The sequence below is a fragment of the Homo sapiens genome, chromosome X (assembly GCF_000001405.40).
Source record: "Homo sapiens chromosome X, GRCh38.p14 Primary Assembly".
Taxonomy (NCBI): domain Eukaryota; kingdom Metazoa; phylum Chordata; class Mammalia; order Primates; family Hominidae; genus Homo; species Homo sapiens.
Window position 1 is genome coordinate 63745815 of NC_000023.11, and position 19450 is coordinate 63765264.

The 19450-nt window shown below is 42.4% G+C and overlaps 2 protein-coding genes across 28 annotated transcripts in view, besides 3 other annotated features; both read right to left on the bottom strand.

Annotated features, from left to right (window-relative positions):
• The window catches only part of ARHGEF9 (Cdc42 guanine nucleotide exchange factor 9), a 150248-nt gene that overhangs the window by 110848 nt on the left and 19950 nt on the right, over window positions 1–19450 (bottom strand). For 4 of the 27 annotated variants that reach the window (NM_001173480.2, NM_001353927.2, NM_001369033.1 and 1 more), the window contains exon 1: window positions 8501–9309. The exons of 3 other annotated variants lie outside the window; for them this stretch is intronic. Coding sequence is in view for 10 of the 24 variants with exons in the window: in NM_001353923.1 (NP_001340852.1) it covers window positions 9344–9391 (48 nt within the window). In the remaining 14 variants the exon portion in view is untranslated. Of the gene's footprint in view, window positions 1–8489; window positions 9310–9343; window positions 9403–10019; window positions 10097–19450 lie in introns of those variants that run through there. 20 more of the 27 variants (NM_001369039.1, NM_001369030.1, NM_001369045.1 and 17 more) reach the window with 10 other exon arrangements.
• On the bottom strand, window positions 8671–8850 carry LOC128031833 (uncharacterized). Its single transcript, NM_001414729.1, has one exon. It carries the CDS (start codon window positions 8848–8850, stop codon window positions 8671–8673), a length of 180 nt encoding a protein of 59 aa, NP_001401658.1.
• Window positions 9195–9489: an enhancer, noted in NCBI's record as "tiled region #13270; HepG2 Activating DNase unmatched - State 4:PromP, and K562 Activating DNase matched - State 11:FaireW". NCBI's record gives its function as "activates a minimal TATA promoter and a strong SV40 promoter by Sharpr-MPRA in HepG2 and K562 cells {active_cell/tissue: HepG2 | K562}" and the evidence as "EXISTENCE:reporter gene assay evidence [ECO:0000049][PMID:27701403]".
• Window positions 9195–9508: a biological region, named in NCBI's record as "Sharpr-MPRA regulatory region 13270".
• Window positions 9349–9508: a silencer, noted in NCBI's record as "silent region_20876". NCBI's record gives its function as "represses an Ori minimal core promoter by ATAC-STARR-seq in GM12878 lymphoblastoid cells {active_cell/tissue: GM12878}" and the evidence as "EXISTENCE:reporter gene assay evidence [ECO:0000049][PMID:35858748]".

Consider the following 19450-nt stretch of genomic DNA (forward strand, 5'->3'; position numbering starts at 1 on the left):
GGCAGAGCCATCTCCACTCTTCTAATTCCAGTTCCCCTAATGACCAAAATCTGCATACGCAAGATGGTTCCCTGGAACTTTAGACTCTGTCCTCCATACCTGTCCCATGCCCATTTCAACCAGACCATCTGTGCTTTTTCCTGTTTTATATAGAAGCTTCTGGCTAACATTCCATTTGAGAACATAGTTCTTCTACTGAAACCACTCTCATTTTAGTGACGTGGAAGCTGACGCCTAGGTGGGAAGGGCCTTGATCAAGATCTGGCAGCAAGGTAGGTACAGAGCCAGGGCTTAATCCTAGGGCTCCTAAGGCCTTTTCTTGTTTTTTCTCCTACTGCAAGTCTGCCTTCCCTATGCTATCCTTCTGCCATGCATGTACAACTTTCCTTCTTCTCTGCTACCAACACTCAACCTTGGTGCTCAAAGATCAATGGCCAATTCCCATCAGGGGCCTGGAACTAGCACATAAGAGTGATAAGGGCAAGAGAAAAACTGGCCTGAACACATCCCTCTCTAAACCTTTTTTCTTCCTCCACATTGCCCCTTTTGCTCCTTTCTTCAAAGCTTCCTCCTGAATACTGCTCTATGTCAGTAAAACCCCTTTAATTCTCAGAGTCATGACTGCATCCTGACCACAGAGTCCACTATGCAGGCTATACCAGAAGCACTGCAGGATGTGGTATCAAGACGCCTAGGTTCTAGGCCACTAGAACTACCACTACCACTAGTCACTACCACTACCTGTTTGACACTGAGTAAGCTGCTTAATCTTTATGAGCCTCACTTTCTTAACTACTTTTAGGTTTGAGGAAGAAGCCCATGAAATACATAGGAAACCTTATTTGTTGAAATTCTTATTAATAGAAGTAGTATTATTAACCAAGTGAATGGCTACTTAAAATACTGCAGGAAGGGGCTCTGAGCTGTCAAAGCAATCCATCTTTTTCAGACCTATGAGACTGGTATTATATCTATGAGAGGCAATTCTCAATTATCCATGACATATCTCTTTAATAAACAGAATCCCAAACTGGCATACCCTAGCTACTCAATTCACTGTACCACTTCCTTCCCTGTTTGGCAGCCAATGCGTGTTCATACAGTCTCCTTTCCTGCTTGGCGGCCAGTGTGTGCTCAAAGAATACAACCTAAGTTCACTTGTTCTAAAAGAAACCTAAGCCAAGTATAATTAAGAAGGCAAAACTGCTATCCTTAAAACCACTCTGTGTATTCTAAACCTGCTAAAATGGATCTCTGGATTACCTGCTAGATTTAAATAATATCTGTACTCGTGTTGATCATTAATATTAATCACAAAATAAGCACATATTGTTGGAGCTAGAAGAAATCTTTGAAGTCATCAAATCCACCTATCCTTATTTTGCTGATGAAGAAAACCAAATTTCAGAGGAGAGAAGTAATTTGCCTGAGGTCACTAGCAAATGAGCAGAATCTTCCCCATCATTACAGCAAATGTGTAGGAACTGACTTTTTTTTTATTCCTGAAGTGTTCAAACCATCTCACAGCTGATTATTTTAAATACAATTAGGTCTCCAGACTACTCATTCCCTAGGGTTGATTCCTCCTTTTTAGAGTGAGCACAAGCCCCTGGGACTTATCGAGGCTCCCACAGTCCTAGAATAAAATTTCACCATCTGTGAAGCTTGCCTAGTCACATGTGTGATAAGTCAGACAGGCTGAGCTAACATTTCCTATGAAGCATTCCATAGCAGTCATTCTCACCCCTGGCTGAACATTCCCATCACCTCAGGGAACTCTTAGAAAAATATTGATGCCAGGAAACCACTATGATCAACTCAATCAGATCTCTCCCAAAGATTCTAGGAATTGTTGTTACTCTTAATATTCCAGGTGATTCCGATGTGCAGCCAGTGCTGAGAACCACTGGGTTAATGGAAACAATTAAGCAAAACAACAAGAGAAACATACACAAAGAATTTCCGGAACTCTTTGAGCACAAAATATATTCTGTTTTAAAGCTAAATCCATTATGTCCTGCTTTTTCAAAGAGGAGAAAGTAATACACAGAAACTACAGTTGTAGTACTGACCCTCAGCCAAGTTCTGAACCCAGTTTAGAAACATTTGCATTGTAGGCACAGAAAGAAAACAAGAAGCTCTGGAGCCTGCAACCAGATTTACCATGAGTAAGAGGCCAAGTAACTTATACTGCTTTTTCTGATGGGGCTATCAGTTTGGCAGATGCTTGCTATGAACCTAGCATATCTTGATGCCCACAAAGCATACAACAAATCTATCGTGCTATGTTATTCACATTAACACCCTGGTAGGATAAATGCTGGCACAACCAGGTGCAGTCTGCACTGGTTGACCAGATACATACAAAAATTAACAAGTCCCAACTCCAAGAGGGGCTCTGGTGAGGTGACAGAAGAGCTAGCATTAATCATATCATAGTAAACATTTCTTTGAATCAACGACTCGAATGCCATTTATTTGGTGTTCAAATAATGCAACACTAGAAGAGGCTGCTAACCTGTTGTGTGACATGAAGAAAAAAAATAAAAACCTCCCAAAGGCTAGAACAATAGTCCAACCAAACAAATAGAATTTAACTGATGCAGTGCTAGAAGGGACTGCTAATTTGTAGCACAGCATGAAGAAAAAATTTTAAAATCCACAGAAAGCTAGAATAATGGACCAACATGTCAAGATAAAATGTAGCAAGTTTGGTTCAAAAAACCCTGAAGTGGCCAACTTCACAAGAGAGTAGAGGACTGGACTAGACAGTAAATGGTTTGGACCTACATGCTCAAAAGGCTAACTCTTAACCCTGGCTGCACATTTGAATCACCTTAGGGAACTTTAAATTAAAAAAATAAATAAATAAAGCTCCCTGGGATCTAGCCCATGAAAATTAAATCAGAATCTTTCAGATAGGGGACCTGGCATGGGTATTTAAAAAAAAGCTTCCCAAGTGATCTGAATGTTCAGTGAGGGTTGAGAATCAGTAGAAGGCTGCATTATTAGACATTTCACAGACAAAACAAAGTTCTTTTGCACTTGATCTCAGTCAGGTGGCACCTAGAGTAGCATGAACAGTTCTAGGCAGCAGATTTTTAAAGAAATATAGAAAAATAAGTGTGCTTCAAAGAGAAGAACAATTGTATTAAAACTACAGTTCCTTGAAAACATTCTGTATTTTAGGCTTCAGCAATTCACACTGGCCTCTCACCTTGAAGATCCCAAATAGTGAGTTTTCATAAAACTAAACAGAACTCTTTGATGCATATTCAAGACAAAAAGGCATTTTATAGAATGAAAATTCTGAGCAAAAGTGCTATACAAATGAAAGTTATTAAAAATGTGAGTAGCTGAGGAAGCTAGTATGACTTCAGGGATGACTCCCAAATCTCCTTTCTTTCTTTTGTTTCCTTTTCTTTCTTTTTTTTTGGGACGGACTCTCGCTCTGTCACCCAGGCTGGAGTGCAGTGGCATGATCTCGGCTCACTGCATCCTCCGCCTCCTGGGTTCAAGTGACTCTCCTGCCTCAGCCTCCCAAGTAGCTGGACTACAGGCGTGTGCCACCACGCCCGGCTAATTTTTGTATTTTTAGTAGAGACAGGGTTTCACCATGTTGGCCAGGCTGGTCTCGAAATCCTGACCTCAGGTGATCCACCGGCCTCAGCCTCCCAAAGTGCTGGGATTACAGGCGTGAGCCACCACGTCAGGCCCTCCCTCCCTACATTCAACATCACACTAGTTAGGAATGACCAACTCTGACTCTCCTCTCTATTTGAAAGGCAGACCCACTCCCATCCCAACAATCTTGCTGACCTTTACTTTCCTCATCTGTAACACTGGGAATTACAATCATCTCTACCCACTTCACAAGGCTGATGTGATGCTCAAGTTAGAAAGGATGTGAAATTCCTTCATAAACGCTATAGGCCCGTGCACTGATAAGGAGTTATTAGTATTGTCATTACTGGACTGCTTCCTGAGCCTTCTCTCCCCTCTATGTTCTTCCCCTTCTAGTTTTTCCTCTTTGTACTTTCGTGCTAGAGCAAAGTACAATAAACTAAATACTCTATGGAGCTAGATCCACCTAAGACAGAAGGAGACACTCTGAGCAGATACTGGAGAAGCTAAACCTTCATCAAGGATTCTTGGAAAGCCAGAGACTCAGTTGGCCTAGAACAAGTTGCAGAGCTGGAAATAAGAGCTAGAGAGTCCAAGATTCCCCTCCTCCATCCCATTTCTTGGGGCAAAGCCACTGGAGCAAGATCCAGATGCCTTGTAGGAGGTCTTCTGAGGAGGCAGTTATTTTGGGAGAAAAGGCTCAATTCTTATATCCCTGCCCAGAGCAAGCACTCTGCAGGTCAAGGGACCAGAAACTGAGATGGCAGACAAAGGCTAAAGAGGAAGACATGCTTTGTTACCATCCTTCAAACCACCAGACTGTGCCCTCTGGTTGCTCTCAATCTGGGCCTTACCTCAAGGGCAGAAGAGCACCTCACCTACAGCCTTTTTGGGATCTTTCAGCTCCCTAGTAGCTGAATCACACACACACCGGTGGGTGAGAGTCTCTGAGCCAGGGTCCAAGCCCTGTTTACCAGCTCCATTATCAAACTTGCTCTTTCAACTTGTCCAGCCTCCCCCGTCAGAAACTACTACACCAAAACCACAGAAAGAAAAATTCCCAAATTCTATAAAGCTAGGCTGATCAGGATTCCCCAAGCCACAGACAAAATTGGGGCACACTGCACAAGCACACTGCAGGTTCTGACAGATGGAGGCTGTCTCAATGGAAGAAGAATGCTGTTCAGTTTGTTCCCACCAAGATATCACTTCACCCCCTCCCTGATGCAGCCAAAAGTTAGGGTGAAAAAAATTGTTTTTTCAGGACCGGCAGAGCTTCTGGCACTAAAGCTAGGCAGTAAAATGGCACAGTTAATCTTAAGGAGATGGGACTGACTAGAAAGGAATTTGAAACCAGGAGTTTTCTAATAAATAATCTCATAGCTGGACGAGGCTAGGCTCTACATGTCTGCTGTGGACATGTTTCCGAGGCATTTGCAGGAAATTGGGATTCTGTTCTTTCTTTGTTCCCTCCCCAAAAGCATCTCTCCAAGTCCCACTAGGCTCTAGTCCCCTTTTTCTAGAGTTATTGGTGCCTGGGCCTTTAAAGGGTGGGCTCTGGAGCTCAGTGGGTGCTCAGTGATACAGGGGTTGCTAGGATACCAGTAGAGGGCATTTTCTTTAATTCTTTGATGGGGATCCAGGAGCGAAAATCCCTAAGCTGGGATTTTGCCCCTCCTACATGGCAAAAGCTTATCCTCTACTCAAAGGGGCCAGAGAGGAGGGAAGGGAATGGAGGAGCTTTATTGGGAAAAGTTGGGACAAATCAGAGAGGAAAAGTCCTCTTCTCTTTTTTACTTCTCACCCATTTACAGTGGGGAGGTGGGAGGAGGAGGTGGTGTCAGGGGTGGGAAGAAAGGAAGAAGGAGAAAGATTAAGAGAGAAGGCAGAGGAGGAAGGAAAAAAGAAGACAAGTCAAAATGCATAGGGTTCCGCTTCTCTGGGCTGCATTTCTCATTTTCTCCCACTCTTTTCTCTTTTTGCTAGAGAAAAATATCCTCACAAGTCTGAAGCAGAAATGCCAAACCTTTAGGATTCACACAAGTAAAAAGTCACACTGCTACCTTTTGTTCTCTACTCTCAAATTCCCTTCTGGTTGCTAGATGGTGGCCTGCCATCTGGCTAGCAACATCCCTTTATTTGCCTGGAGACAATTTTAAAAGCGCTAACCCATTTCAACAGCTAAATTACTAATGGAAGGGCTCATTCAAGACACCTCCTTAGCCTGAGGGGTTTTAGGTGGTGAAAAGAGGAATGGCATGGGTGATACCCATCCATCCCAGCATTTGTGAAATCCTTATAGGTCCTAGCACAAGGAGGCTATTCAGAACTGTGGAACTCAATACTGTCTTTCTTCATTCCTACCACCACACCCCGCATCCACACTCAGGAGTGTGCTCCCCCCCACACACCCCCATGAACATACTGCCACACACCCTACACACACACATACATTCCCAGAGGCTTTCTGCCAAAGGTCTGTCAGGCTCACAGAGGAGAAGGCATTTCGTGACACTATTTAAGTCATAAACCTAGATCAAAGACTAGTCTCAGAGACCCCTTCTCCCCTTGGGGGAAAAAAAGTCAAAAAGCATTCCCTTATTGCTGTCCCAGTTTCCTTCCCAAATAACTAGGCAAAAAAAACCCCTTCGCTTAAACTTGTTATCCAGGCTGTAGTACCAGATATCCTTCCCCTCCTCCCATCACCCTTTGATTAACATTTTCTTTTCCTTTTCACTTGTCTTTCCAGCTCATCCCCCCCACCCCCCACAACTTCAAGTGTCTAGGGGTCATAAAATCATAAAATGCAAGAACTTGGAAGTCACCTAGTGGAGCCATCAAAAAATGCCAATGTTACTGGGAATCCCAAACCCACCGAGGAGGAAAAAAATTGTCCAAGGTCAAACAGCTGCTGAATGGAAAAAACAAAAAACAAAACAAAACAAAACAAAAAAACAGGTCTGCAGCTGCCCAGCATAGAGCCATTCCCCACTCTCCAACACTGTATCAAAACAAAGTGCCCAGAAAAGATATAAGCTTACTTTAAATAATACAATGAAGCTAAGGGGGGAAAAAAACTCACTAAATTATCTTTGCAAAGAAATAGGTTCTCAGTTCCATCCAGGGGGTCTCCACAAACGGACCAAAGAGTAATTAATAAGAACCAATGCCAGCAAACCTCCCAGATCATGTTTACACCATGGTACTAATCTCACAAAAACCTCAGCTTCTCACCCACACCAAGTCAAGGATAGCATGCTTTGAGGCCCAAAACACCCTCTGACGCCATTAAATAATACTCTCTGGGTCCTGTGGCCAAGACAATTTCAAAGGCCCCCTTCACAGCCCCTCTCCTTTCATAATCATTTCCAAAGAGACTGAACAACCGGACATGGAACTTGACAGCATAATGCCAGCAGATTTGCACATCAGACATGAACAGCCACCCACATGGGTGGAGGGGGAGCATGTGTGTAGATGTGTATGTGTCCTGATTCACTGCTATAATACATGAGCCATAAATGGCATTATTTCAAGCCAGGTAAGCAATGGAATGGGGAAAGCCTGCCTACATTAACAGGGGAGAAAGAAAATCAAAACGCAAAAAAACAAGTATTATACAGACTGGCATGAGACATTTTTTTTCCTGGCTCTGCCAAGAGCTTTCTCAGAGGAAACAGAAATATAAAAATAATAGCAATAGCAATAACAACAGAAACCACCACCACCATCTGATACAGACAAGCAGTCATATCTCAAACTGGAATGTTGCTTCCAGCTCATGTTTTCCATGCTCTCATCCCTTTCCTTCTAGACGTTTTTGGGTTTTGGTGGTCAAATTTAGCACCAAAATTTGATAACTCTTAATTTAGCACATTACAGACTTTCAGTTTGTTATGGGAATGTTTCAATTACAGAGACCTCTGATCTTAAAGTAACAAACGGGAGCAAACAATAGCATCACCACTTTCTCATCAGCCTTATCAAGTTACATTTAAAATGTAGTTCAAGAACATCATTGCAAACGAGATTATCCCAAAGGAGCCATATCCAAATACTATTATTCCCAAGGTGGATAAAGAGCTGTTTTTTCTTTCTTGTGGGGTTTTTTTTTTTTTTTGATGAGACAAACAAAATCCCCAAACTCAAATCCAGGGGTACAATCTTTGGGAAAGGGAGCCCAAATAGCTCCTGTCAAAGTCCTCTCTTGCCAGTTCAAAAAATCAGAGAATGCTTTCACATACTATTTCATGATTCCAAGGAAATTGACATTTTAAATATCTTAAAGCTTTAAGGTTCAAGAAGTGTTTTAAATGTGGCTTCTTTCAAAATTGAAAATTGTGAACCCTGGAGAGCAAATTGAGATTCAAAGGACACAGTCACCAACTGCCAGCACAACACACCCGTGTCACTTCCCAAATTCTTGCTTCTCCTTAGACACTAAAGAAGCATTTTCCCTAAATCCATTCCTTGCATCGATTATTTTCCCTCTAAATATCCACTGCAAAGACTGTCTTTCCTATGATGTCAAATATTCATCATGCTCTTCCACAAACCCTTTTCCCCTCAAACAAACCCAAATGCACTCCTGATGGCAAGAGAGAAATTTTGACTAAAATTCCCTGATGGAGTTTAAAGGTAGTCTTCAAGGAAATGAGTTAAGACACCACAGACAGCAAAGCCACTGTTTAAGGACGCAGAGCTTGCTCCATGAACGCCACATAGATTAAAAATGCACACACGCATGCACACTTAAATAGAAAGCATTTCTTCATCAACAATTTCACTCAAGCAATAGGCAACTATACGCGCAGGCATTCTTAAAAGACAAGACACGACAAAAGATTTAGGGAGAGATAATATACCAACGTCATACATATCACAGCGAGGCCATGTTGAAGCTCAAAACGTTTTCCCCCCTGAGTAAGAAAGCTTGTTCTTTCTCTCTCTTTCCCTGTCTCTGTCTGTGATTTTTTTTTTTTCTCGGTGGCTCTCGGGATGAAATCAAAGCGAGAGTTCGCGACAGCTCAGGTGGCTGGACTCCATTCAGCGCGTTCCCAGGAAAAACATGAGTATGACATTGACAAGCAGGAGGACTACAATCACGGCAAAAACGACTACAGTTTGCACATCCAGGGTCATGGTGCAATGCAGAACACTGTAGTGTTCCAGGTGGGGGGCCGGCAGATTGGGAGATGTCAGTCTCTGTTCTGTCAGACTGTCCATACAGCCACCATGCTAGAAAGGAGAGGAGGAAGTAGGGTGGTTAGAGAAGGGCTGGGTTTGGCGCCCGAGTTTAGTCGGGGGAGGGGAGGGGGATGGGGACGGGGTGCTTGGTTCCCCCCTTCTCAGGATTGGGCTGATCGTTTGTCCCTAGCTGAGAAATCTTAGCTTGCGCTGAAGTCGGCAGAGTCCAGCATTCTCTCTCGGGCGCCACGGGAAAGGCAAAATCCTAGCTTTCAAAGGGAAAGGCGGGGGGAACCTGTGAGTGGTTCTCCGGCGCCTGCTCAGTCTGTCCGGGCGTGCGTCCGTCCGCCTGCCTGGCTACCGGTCAGTCTCAGTCTCCCCTACTCCCTTTACTTCGCTCGTTTTCCTAAGCTTGCTCGCTCTCTTCGCTGGGCTCCCGGCTGCCAGACACTCGTTCGATCCCTGCCTTGCTGGCCCTATCCCTCTTCTCTCCCCATCCCCCGCTCAGCCCATAGGCTGCCTTTTTATTCACCGAGCGACTGCGGGCGCTTGCGTGAGGCGCGGCCAGAGCCACTGACATACCCGCCGACCAATAACAGATGCCGCAGTAGCACGTTCGCTGCCCAGGGGCGGGACTTGCGCTGGCGTGCTAGCCGCGACCGCCAATCAGAGCCTCAAGGCTCCCAAGCAAGCTCGCTCTCCCCAGACCGGCGAGAGTCACCAGCCACCAGTTCTGGTTTGGGGGTGGGGAGCTTCTTGGGGGCGGATAGAGGGGGTATATAAGGAGATGGGGAGGAAAAGGACTGGGAAAGAGGGAGGGAAGGGACCCAATAGGATGCAAGGGGAGGAGATCACGTGAAGAGGGAGAAAAAGAAGAAAAGACGAGGAGGAAGGAGAAGAGAGGGAAGATAATGAAGAAAGAGAATTGTGGGGAAAGGCAGAAAAAAGGATGGTGAGGAGAAAGAAGGAATGGGGGAAAAACGGATAGGTAGCTGTGGAGAATGCATGTGCCTAGCAGCCACTTTGTTTGGAGCCTGGGCCAAGGAGGAAGCAAAGGTGCTTTTGGCCACTGCCTAAGAATTTACAGGCAACCCACAATTAGCTATAAAAAGCCAACAAACCAGTGTTGTGGACAGAATCACAGGGACACACGACAGAATTTCCAAAATCCAATTCTATTTGGCTTTCCCTGATACCACTGCCCTTACCTGGTCAGATTTCCTTTCTTGATTATAGATTCTTCAGACTAGGACAGTTAGCTTGCAATTTTCCAGCATTCTGGGTACTATGAAGGGAAGCCAGCATAGGGTTAAACATTCGCCATGGAAAATCCTCTACAGAACTTGCAATCTGCTTCTAATCATTGCCCTGCTCTGTGACCTGGTATCTAGAGCTAAGGAGGGAAAAGCCATGGAGTGGAGACCAGAAGGTTTCAAATTTACTCTCAGCCCTACCTCAAACTTGCTGTATGACTTTTGGGCAATTCCCTTTTCCTCTCAGGGGTCTGTCTTCTGTCTCCCTCCTGTCAATGAGGACTTAGACTTATCTGAGAATTCAGTTAAACCTCAGAACACTCACCTCAGAAAAAAACAATTTCAGTGGTTCCCTGGGCCTTCAAACCAAGGATTCCCTTATACAGGAGATCTCTCAGAGCCTTTTTGCTCTTATATTATAGGATTATATGACTGAACAGATAGGTATATACCTAAGAAAAATGAAAACATGCCAACACAAAAACTTATACATGAATGCTTATAACAGCATTATTCACAATAGCCAGAAGATGGAAACAATTCAAATGTCCAACAACTGATGAATGGGTAAACAAAATGTGGTATATACATACAATGAAGTATTATTTAACCATAAAAAGGAATGAACTACTGATACATGCTACAACATAGATGAGCTTTGAAAACATGCTAAGTGAAAGACGTGAGAAAAAGGCTTTTGTAAGATTCCATTTATAGAAAATGTTCATATAGTTAGCGTAAATACTGTTTCATGATGCTTTTGTTTCAGTTATATATAAATATAAATGTACTGGCCTGTAATGTGAAATGTGTTTCTTATAGCAAGTAATAGTCAAAACGGTTTGAAAACTACTCTTCTAGATTATGTTGAGACAGATACTGGTGATCAGGACAGTACCATAATATAAACAACTACAGTCTTTCTCCTAGTCTTTGAAAGTTCAGTCTTATCCTGTCTCTATTTCCTCATTATCTTTTGACCCCTCAACCCACTGCATCCTGGCTTTACCCTCATTGTCCTATAGAAAACTGAAACCTCTTGTGAATAGGAAAAAAAACAACCAACTTGTTACTAAATCTCATGGCCAACTTTCAATCTTTACCTTTCGTAACTTTTCTCCCATTTGACTCCACTGATGCCTTCCTCAATCCTGAAATGCTCCTTTTCCTTGGGAACACCATCCACATGACCTGTATGTTTATGCTGTCTTCACTTCCTGCATGGGTTCTTCTTCATCCAGTCATTAATGCCATGATTTCTGAGTTCTTCTGATTGCAGTCCCCTTTTCTTCTCATTCTGCATTTGCACTGAATGGGCTCATCTACTTCCAAGGCTTGAACTACCATCTACATTGCACATTGATGCACCTCCTTTCTACAAAATTACACCACCACTGGGAAACAAAACAGACATAGGACCTTGCTTGCACGTAAGCAGAGAGCTGCTGATGACTCCAAGGTAGCTCTCCTGGACCCCAGAATGAAAGTTCTACTGCTTTCTGGATATCTCCTCCTTAGTATCTCACAAGCATATCAAACTTAAAAAGTCCCAAATTGAAGTCATCTCCTCCCACTCTTGCTGGTTTCCTTCTTCCCCTGAGTCCTTTGTCTCCTGGGAATGGCAGTCACACACTGAGCTTGCCAGAAACCAAGAAAATATCTACAAGTTTTTTCTCTCCCTCACCTCACTGGTGGCCAACAAGTCTTTTAGTTCTGTTGATCCTCTTCCTCCTTAATCTCTCTCATTTGTCCCTTTCTCTCTTCCTGCTGTCACTACTTTTAATCAGTTCCTCATCATCTCTGATCCATCACAATTCATTACCAGTTATCTTATGCTGCTCTCCCTCCCCAATTAAGCCTCTACTCTTCTGCCCAAATTCTTTCCTCAAAAGCAGTTTTGCTCTTGTCAATCTTGGGTAGATACTCTGGATTGGTTTTTAAGGATCCACTCCTTCTAGCCTGCCTTCCTATATTGCTGAAAAGCTAAAAACCAAAAAAACTACAACAACAATAAACTGGCATTTCCAAGATTCCTTTGCAGCCAGCGTTCTGGATATGACATAGTGATGCCAATCATATGCACATGCACAGTATTTAGAAGGAGGTGGTTGGTGAGCCAGAAGTCATGTCTCTGTTGCTTCTGTTGGAAAGCACAATGGTGAAAGTGTTGGGGTTTTTTTGTGTGTGTTACCGTAGGTTCCAGTGTCTAGCCATTGGCTTTGTGCATTCTGAGAGCCAGAGAATGGGACTTTTTTTTTTTTTTTTTGTCACTGAGGATCTGGTAGGCATAGTGATACTCTAGCCAACAGATGGTTAGAGCTGTGGCAGCTTCCTCATTCCTAAATTGCAGACAAGGCAGCATGCTCCTAGAGCCCCTGACGCCTCATCTTCCTGCTTGTCAGAGAGAGCAGCTACCCTGACACTGTTCTTGGAGGCATAGCCTAAAGCTTGCCCCTCCAGCCCTCCCACCAATTTTGTAAGCACTTTATTTTCTATATTAAAACTCCTTCTGCTGAAAAGAACTACAGTGGTTTATTTTTGCAGCTGAAACCTGACTTATATAATGCCTCTGTTCAAAGGCCTTCAATAGCTCCTCGGCGCATTTAAGGCAAATTCTGTAGTGTGGCATAAAATGTCCTGCCAATCTGATGTCCTTCGGCCTCTGTATCCTCAGCTCTTACCAGTGCCCTCTCATTCTCTGTTCTCTAGCTACATAGAACCTACAGTAGTTCTCATAACTCATGAGGTTCTCTTGCCTCAGGGCCTATATAAACTGCTGCTTTATTTTTCCAGCTCCCCATTTCAAAGCTCAGCTGAGGTGCCACCACCTCCAGAAGGCTTTCTCTAATGTTCTCTTCCTCAACAATATTCTGAATGATAGTCCTCTCCCATAGGATCCTACGTTTAGCCCTCTTGAAACATTTATTAAACTGTATTGTATTTTTTTCTTGTTTGTATCCTTTACTGGACTGTGAAGCTAGGAGGGCAGAGACCACGACTGTCTTGTTCACTGCTTTCTCCCTTTGTGCCCAGCGCAGTGTCTGACACTTAGCAGGTGCTTCATAACAAACACCTATTGGATGCATGAATGTCTCCTTCATCCACTGGTCTCCACTCAAAGACTCATATCTTCCAACCACAGAAGGCAGGACCTGATGGAACCACAGAGAAAAATCTAAGCCCTTATATTCCAGGTTCACAGAGAAGGGAAGCAACTTGTCAAAGATTATACAGCTAATTGCTGGCAGAGTGGGAACCAAAGCCCTTGTATCTTAAGTCTCAAAAGTACTTTTGAGAGATTTCAGACCCTGGAACACGGTATTTGATACCAGCCCTGTCCATGTGTGGGTAGCTTTCTGAGTTATGTGACCAATCAACTTTGCTCACAATTTTTTTTAATGGAGTCCTCTACATTTGGAGTAGCAATACCCCTCCCGAGATCTATTCCTTCTTGCTGACAAGTCTCAAGGAATTAGATAATCTCTTGGTCTAGCACAACTCCAGTTCCATCCTGCCATCCCTTCTGCAACATCCCCACTAATTGGTTATCCGGTCTCAGCTCCAACACCTATAATGATGGGGCAGTTCCTCCCTCCCAAGACAGCCCCTTCATCTTTGGGACAATCTCAGATGGTAGAAAGTTCTTCCATCTCTTTGAGCCAGATGTTGTCACTACTTCTACCACAGCCAGGGCTGAGGAGCTAATCACTCCATGAGAGGGTCTGGGATAATAATGCCCTCAAATTCACACTAGTTCTCAGATCTGAAAGGCAGTTCAATAGATTATGATAATGATAGTTAACACTTACAAACTGCTTACTCTGTGTCAGGCACTGTTTGAAGCCCTGTACATACATAAACTCTTTTAATCCTCACAACAACTCTATGAGGTAGGTACGGTAGGTACTATTATTGTCCTTATTTTATAGATGAGGAAACTGAGGCAGAATGAAGTTAAATAACTTGCCTAAGGTCACATGGCTAGTAAGATATGGAGCGCAGATGTAAACTCAAATTGTCTAGCTCTAGAGTCTGCTATTAAACACTATTCTATATAAATGCCAATAAGTGACACATGTCCCATCTTTCAATAACATCTGACATGATGTCTCCTAGGTCACAGGGATAAACTGTTTCAGTGTCTTCATCTGGGCCTCAGTGGCCTACCTCCCAAACCCAAGATCCCTAGTTCTCAAACCTTTTCCTTCTGTCAGGGAAAAAAAAAAATTCCTGGTTGTCCTTTGCTTCTCATGTTTTGCATAGCTCCCAAAGACCCACTTCTGCCAGGAAGCACTCCCAGGCAAAGTTCCATTTTTTTTTGTCCCGATCTCCACTGCTGCTCACTTCCCATCCAACCCCTACCCTAGCTTCCTCATAGTCCCTCATGCTTGCTACAGTCTACAGATACTGAATCCTGTCTGTTTATTGTCTTAGCTACTGATACGACTAGATGCTCTTGCATGTTCATGGGTATCATCTCTATTTAAGACAGGCTGCCCCCTAAGGACAAAAACTCCTGTTTAGTTCAATTATTCAGCACAGAAATCACTACTCCTCCAAAATCAGTTCAATTCAATAAGCCCTTATTCTGACAGCTAAGGGATACAGAGTGGATCTCAGGGATTTTACAGTTTAGTGGGAGAGCTAATCAGTGATGCACATAATTTCAATGTCATACAGTAAGTATCCCAAGCACAATCAGGTGATGAATAAAGTTGTTGATGATTACGAACAAATAAATAATTTTATGTTCAAAAGGGAAAAAGAGATCATCTCCTCCCAACCTCCCTGTGTAGGTATCCTCTCTATAGTACATGAAAGGTGAGGGGGAGGAGGAGAAGGAAACACCTACTCACCTACTTTGGGCCCACATGGTGCTAGGCCTTTTAACATATTATTTTACTTAATTATCCCTAGAAGTTTGAGAAGAAGAAATTGTTATCATTATTTTAAAAGAGTAACTATACCTGAGAGTGTTTACATCATTTGCCCATAACCATACAAGTTTGAGGAAGCAGTAGCAGGATTTGAATTGAGATCTCTTTCCAAAGCCACTCTTCCAAAGCAGTTTGTAAGTGTTAACTATCATTATCATAATCTATTGAACTGCCTTTCAGACCTGAGAACTAGTGTGAATTTGAGGGCATTATTATCCCAGACCCTCTCATGGAGTGATTAGCTCCTCAGTCCTGGCTTTCCAAAGCCACAAATCACCCATGGTCATTTGTGCAGGTTACCGCCTGAGACCAAGGGTATGCCTGCCACACCTTTGGCAAGGCTGTTGAAGATTTAAAACTACCAATGCTTTTAAAAATCTACCACTAAAAATAAGTCAGCCGTTTGAGCTTTTGGGGAGACAAGAGACTTGTTTGAGGTCACACAGCTACCAAGAAGCAGAGGCTGGACTTACATCTGCCTAAAATATTACATATTTTTATTGTTTATTGATTTATTGTCTCCTTTATAAAATGTAAGCTCCATGAAAGCACATTGCTTTGTTCATATCTGTATCCTCAGCACCTAAAATAGTGCTTAGCACTCAATAAATATATTTTTAATGACTGAATAACTAAATTAATGAATGAATGAGTGAATGAAGAGCAAGGCATAGCCCTGAGGACTCGCAATGTAAAATGTAAAGGAAGTCTTGTTATGGAAAGTATTCTCTGCTACAGCCTGAGAATACCAATCTTCACCCTTCTCCCACCCCAAGGGCCTTCATTAGTAAGTACTCCTCCAAAAGGTACTATAAAGATTACAGTTTGAGAATTTCAAGATCTCTTTAGTTTTCTGTTCTCCGATGACATAGTTGCCACCCTAAACCACCACCCAGAAACTTTTCCCTCAAGAAAAACTGCCTATACCACCCTCCTGTGGCTAATGACTGAATAAATACCTGAGTAAATACCCAGGAAACAGCAGTTTCCTTCTGTTCCTTCACATGAATCTATTTTGGGCCTATTTCACATTTATTTTAGGCCTCTTTCAGTTCTATTTCAAGCAAGCTAGTAGGCCAGACCATCTGGCTCTACTCAGGGTAGAGAGAGAACTGGTTGGAAAAGAGCAGCAAAGGTCTAAAAGCCCCTTTAGAGGAAGTACAATGGTTTTCTGTCAAGCTCAGGATCTTTCTGGGGTAGCTAAAGTCAATCATGCATCAGTTCAAGACTGTGGTGGGGAGTGAACATTTCTCTCAGTATCAGAACCCAGTGTTTAGTTGTAGAGCCTAATCTCCTGGATAATTCCACTCCTGAGCCTCATAACTCATTCAGTCAGCTAAGCCCCTCTGACCTCCATGTCCAGGTGTATTTGTTTACAAGCTTTATTTGAACTGCAAGCCATTGGACATTCGGGACACAATCACTCATCATCAAATTAAGCATGGAGCTTTGCTTATAAGAGGTACTCAACAAGAATCACATAGATAAGCAGGTAGGTGGGCAGGTAGGTAGCCAGGATATGGTAATATGTTGAAATTGCAAAACAAGAAAGGAGGTAAGTATAGCTGGGGAGTTTGTAAGAGGCTAGATTATATGTCGGAGGGAGACTAAGGAATTCACTTTGAGGAGCTGTATTTTCTGTAGAAGGCCAAGATAGTCTAGCAATGAGACTCTAAGTGAAGATGTTAAGAAAGGGCTGGACATCCCCAAATATTGGTAAAGAAGAGAAGAGTGCAGGACACATAAATAGATGGGGGCTTATAGAAATTCATGAGGGCCTAGCTAAGACTGCTGAAGCTCTCTGTGGACTGATAGGGAGAGATTTTGAAGATATGCAATGTGGAAAAAGCAAGATGCAGAATACTGTTGACCCTTGAACAACACAGGTTTGAACTGCACAGGTCCACTTATACCGGGACTTTTTTCAATAAAAGTTAATACCAAGTATACCTGCCTCTCCTGCCTCCCATTCTACCTCCTTAACTTCGTCTGCCTCTGCTATCCCTGAGACATCAAGACCAACCCCTCCTCTTCCTTCTCCTCTTAAGCCCACTCAATGTGAAAACACTGAGAATGAAGATCTTTGTGGTGATCTACTTCCACATAATGAATAGTAAATATATTTTCACTTTCTTAGGATTTTATTAATAACATTTTATTTTCTCTAGCTACTTTATTGTAATAATACAGTATATAAAACATATACAAAATATGTGTCAATCAACTGTGTTTGTTATAGATAAGGCTTCCAGTCAACAGTAGGCTATTAGTAGTTAAGTTTTTAGGGAGTGAAAAGTTACACGTTGATTTTCAACTGCATGGAGGGTGGGATTTGGGGCCCCTAATCCCCATGTTGTTAAAGGGTCAAATTTAGTATTATGATGTGTGATCTTTTAGGTAAAGAAGAGGGGAAAAATATATTTGGATTTGCTTATATCTGCATAAAGAAACTCTGGAAGGATACATAGAAAGCCATTAAGTTTGTGATCTCTGATGGGTAGATAGAGAGACAGACTGTACACATTTTTATAGTTTGATTTTTTAGCATATAAATATATTATGTATTAATATATTAAATTTTAAAATGTTAAATCCATTATGTGATCTTAATAAGTTCTCTCTCTCTCTCTCTCTTTCCCCACCCCCTCCCTCCACCCCGTGCTTCAGTTTATCAAGCTAGGAAGATCCTAAGAGTTAGAAGTAGTATATAGCCTAATGGCTAAGAATACAGGCTCTAGAACCAGCCTACTGAGATCCAACCTTAGTTCTTCCAGTTGCTAGTTGTGAGAACTTGAACAACTTATTTAATGTCATCGAGCCTCACTTTACTCATCTTTAAATCAGGGAGAATGGTATAATGTCATGATACTCATGCTGCCCCTCATTTCGAGCAAACCCCTGACTCTCAGTCACCTAGTTTCCTCATTTACAAAACAGGGGTAGGTTTTCATGAGGATTTAATGAGTGAAAAGCTGTAAAGTACTTAGAACAATGTCCAGCACATAGTAATGCTCAGTAAATGACAATAAATACTATTATTTGAGGGTGTGATTATATGTGCCTAGCTTTAGGCAAATCATAACCTCTCTGAGCCTCAGTTTCCTCATCTATAAATAGAAGACATAATACCTGTCAAAGAGATGATGAGATCATGGATTTGAAAGTACTCTATGGAATGAAAAATTCAGTTAGTATGTCAAAAATTGTCATAGTTCAACTTACAGAATGGAGGAACATTGTTGCAATGAATCCATCTGACAAAGGTCTAATATCCAGAATCTACAAGGAACTTAAACAAATTTACAAGGAAAAAACTAACAACCTCATTAAAAAGTGGGCAAAGGACATGAACAGACACTTCTCAAAAGAAGACATTCATGTGACCAACAAACATATGAAAAAAGCTCAACAATACTGATCATTACAGAAATGCAAATCAAAACCACAATGACATACCATCTCATCGCCATTCTGACTGGCAATTATTAAAAAGTCAAGAAACAACAGATGCTAGCAAGGATGTGGAGAAAAAGGAATGCTTTTACACTGTTGGTGGGAATGTAAATTAGATCAACAAGTGTGGAAGACACTGTGGCAATTCCTCAAAGATACAGAAGCAGAAATACCACTTAATGCAGCAATCCCATTACTGGGTATATACCCAAAGGAATATAAATCATTCTCTTATAAAGATATATGCACGTGTATGTTCACTGCAGCACTACTCACAATCACAAAGACATGGAATCAACCCAAATGCCCATCAATGATAGGCCGGATAAAGAAAATGTAGTACATATACACCATGAGATACTATGCAGAATTAAGAAGGAATGAGATCATGTCCTTTGCAGGGACATGGATGGAGCTGGAAGCCATTATCCTCAGCAAACTAATGCAGAAGCAGAAAACCAAACACTGCATGTTTTCCCTTATAAGTGGGAGCTGAATGATGAGAACACATGGTGGGGGAACAACACACACTGGGGCTTGTTGGTGGGGCTGGGGGAGGGAGAGGATCAGGGAGAATAGCTAATGGATGCTGGGCTTAATACCTGGGTGATGGGTTGATCTGTGCAACAAACCACCATGGCACATGTTTACCTATGTAACAAAGCTGCACATCCTGCACGTGTACCCTGGAATTTAAAAGTTGAAGAAAAATAAAACAACACAAAAGAATTGTCATAGTAGAAAAAGGTGAGGTACTAAATGAAGATCTCACCTATTCAAGGCTCCCCCTTCCCACCCCCAGCATTCCAAATGAGATTGTATCACAGGGGCAAGTGGAAGTCTTTAAAGGCCATGAGTCATTTGTGTATTAAGTTTCAGGAAATGAGTCCCAGTTCCCACCTCCCAAAAGCAGAGTGGACAAAATGAGCTGCACATCAGTGGTTGCCAGTCTATCATGAGATGCCAAGTGTTTCCATGTAACTGTTCCTATTTCTA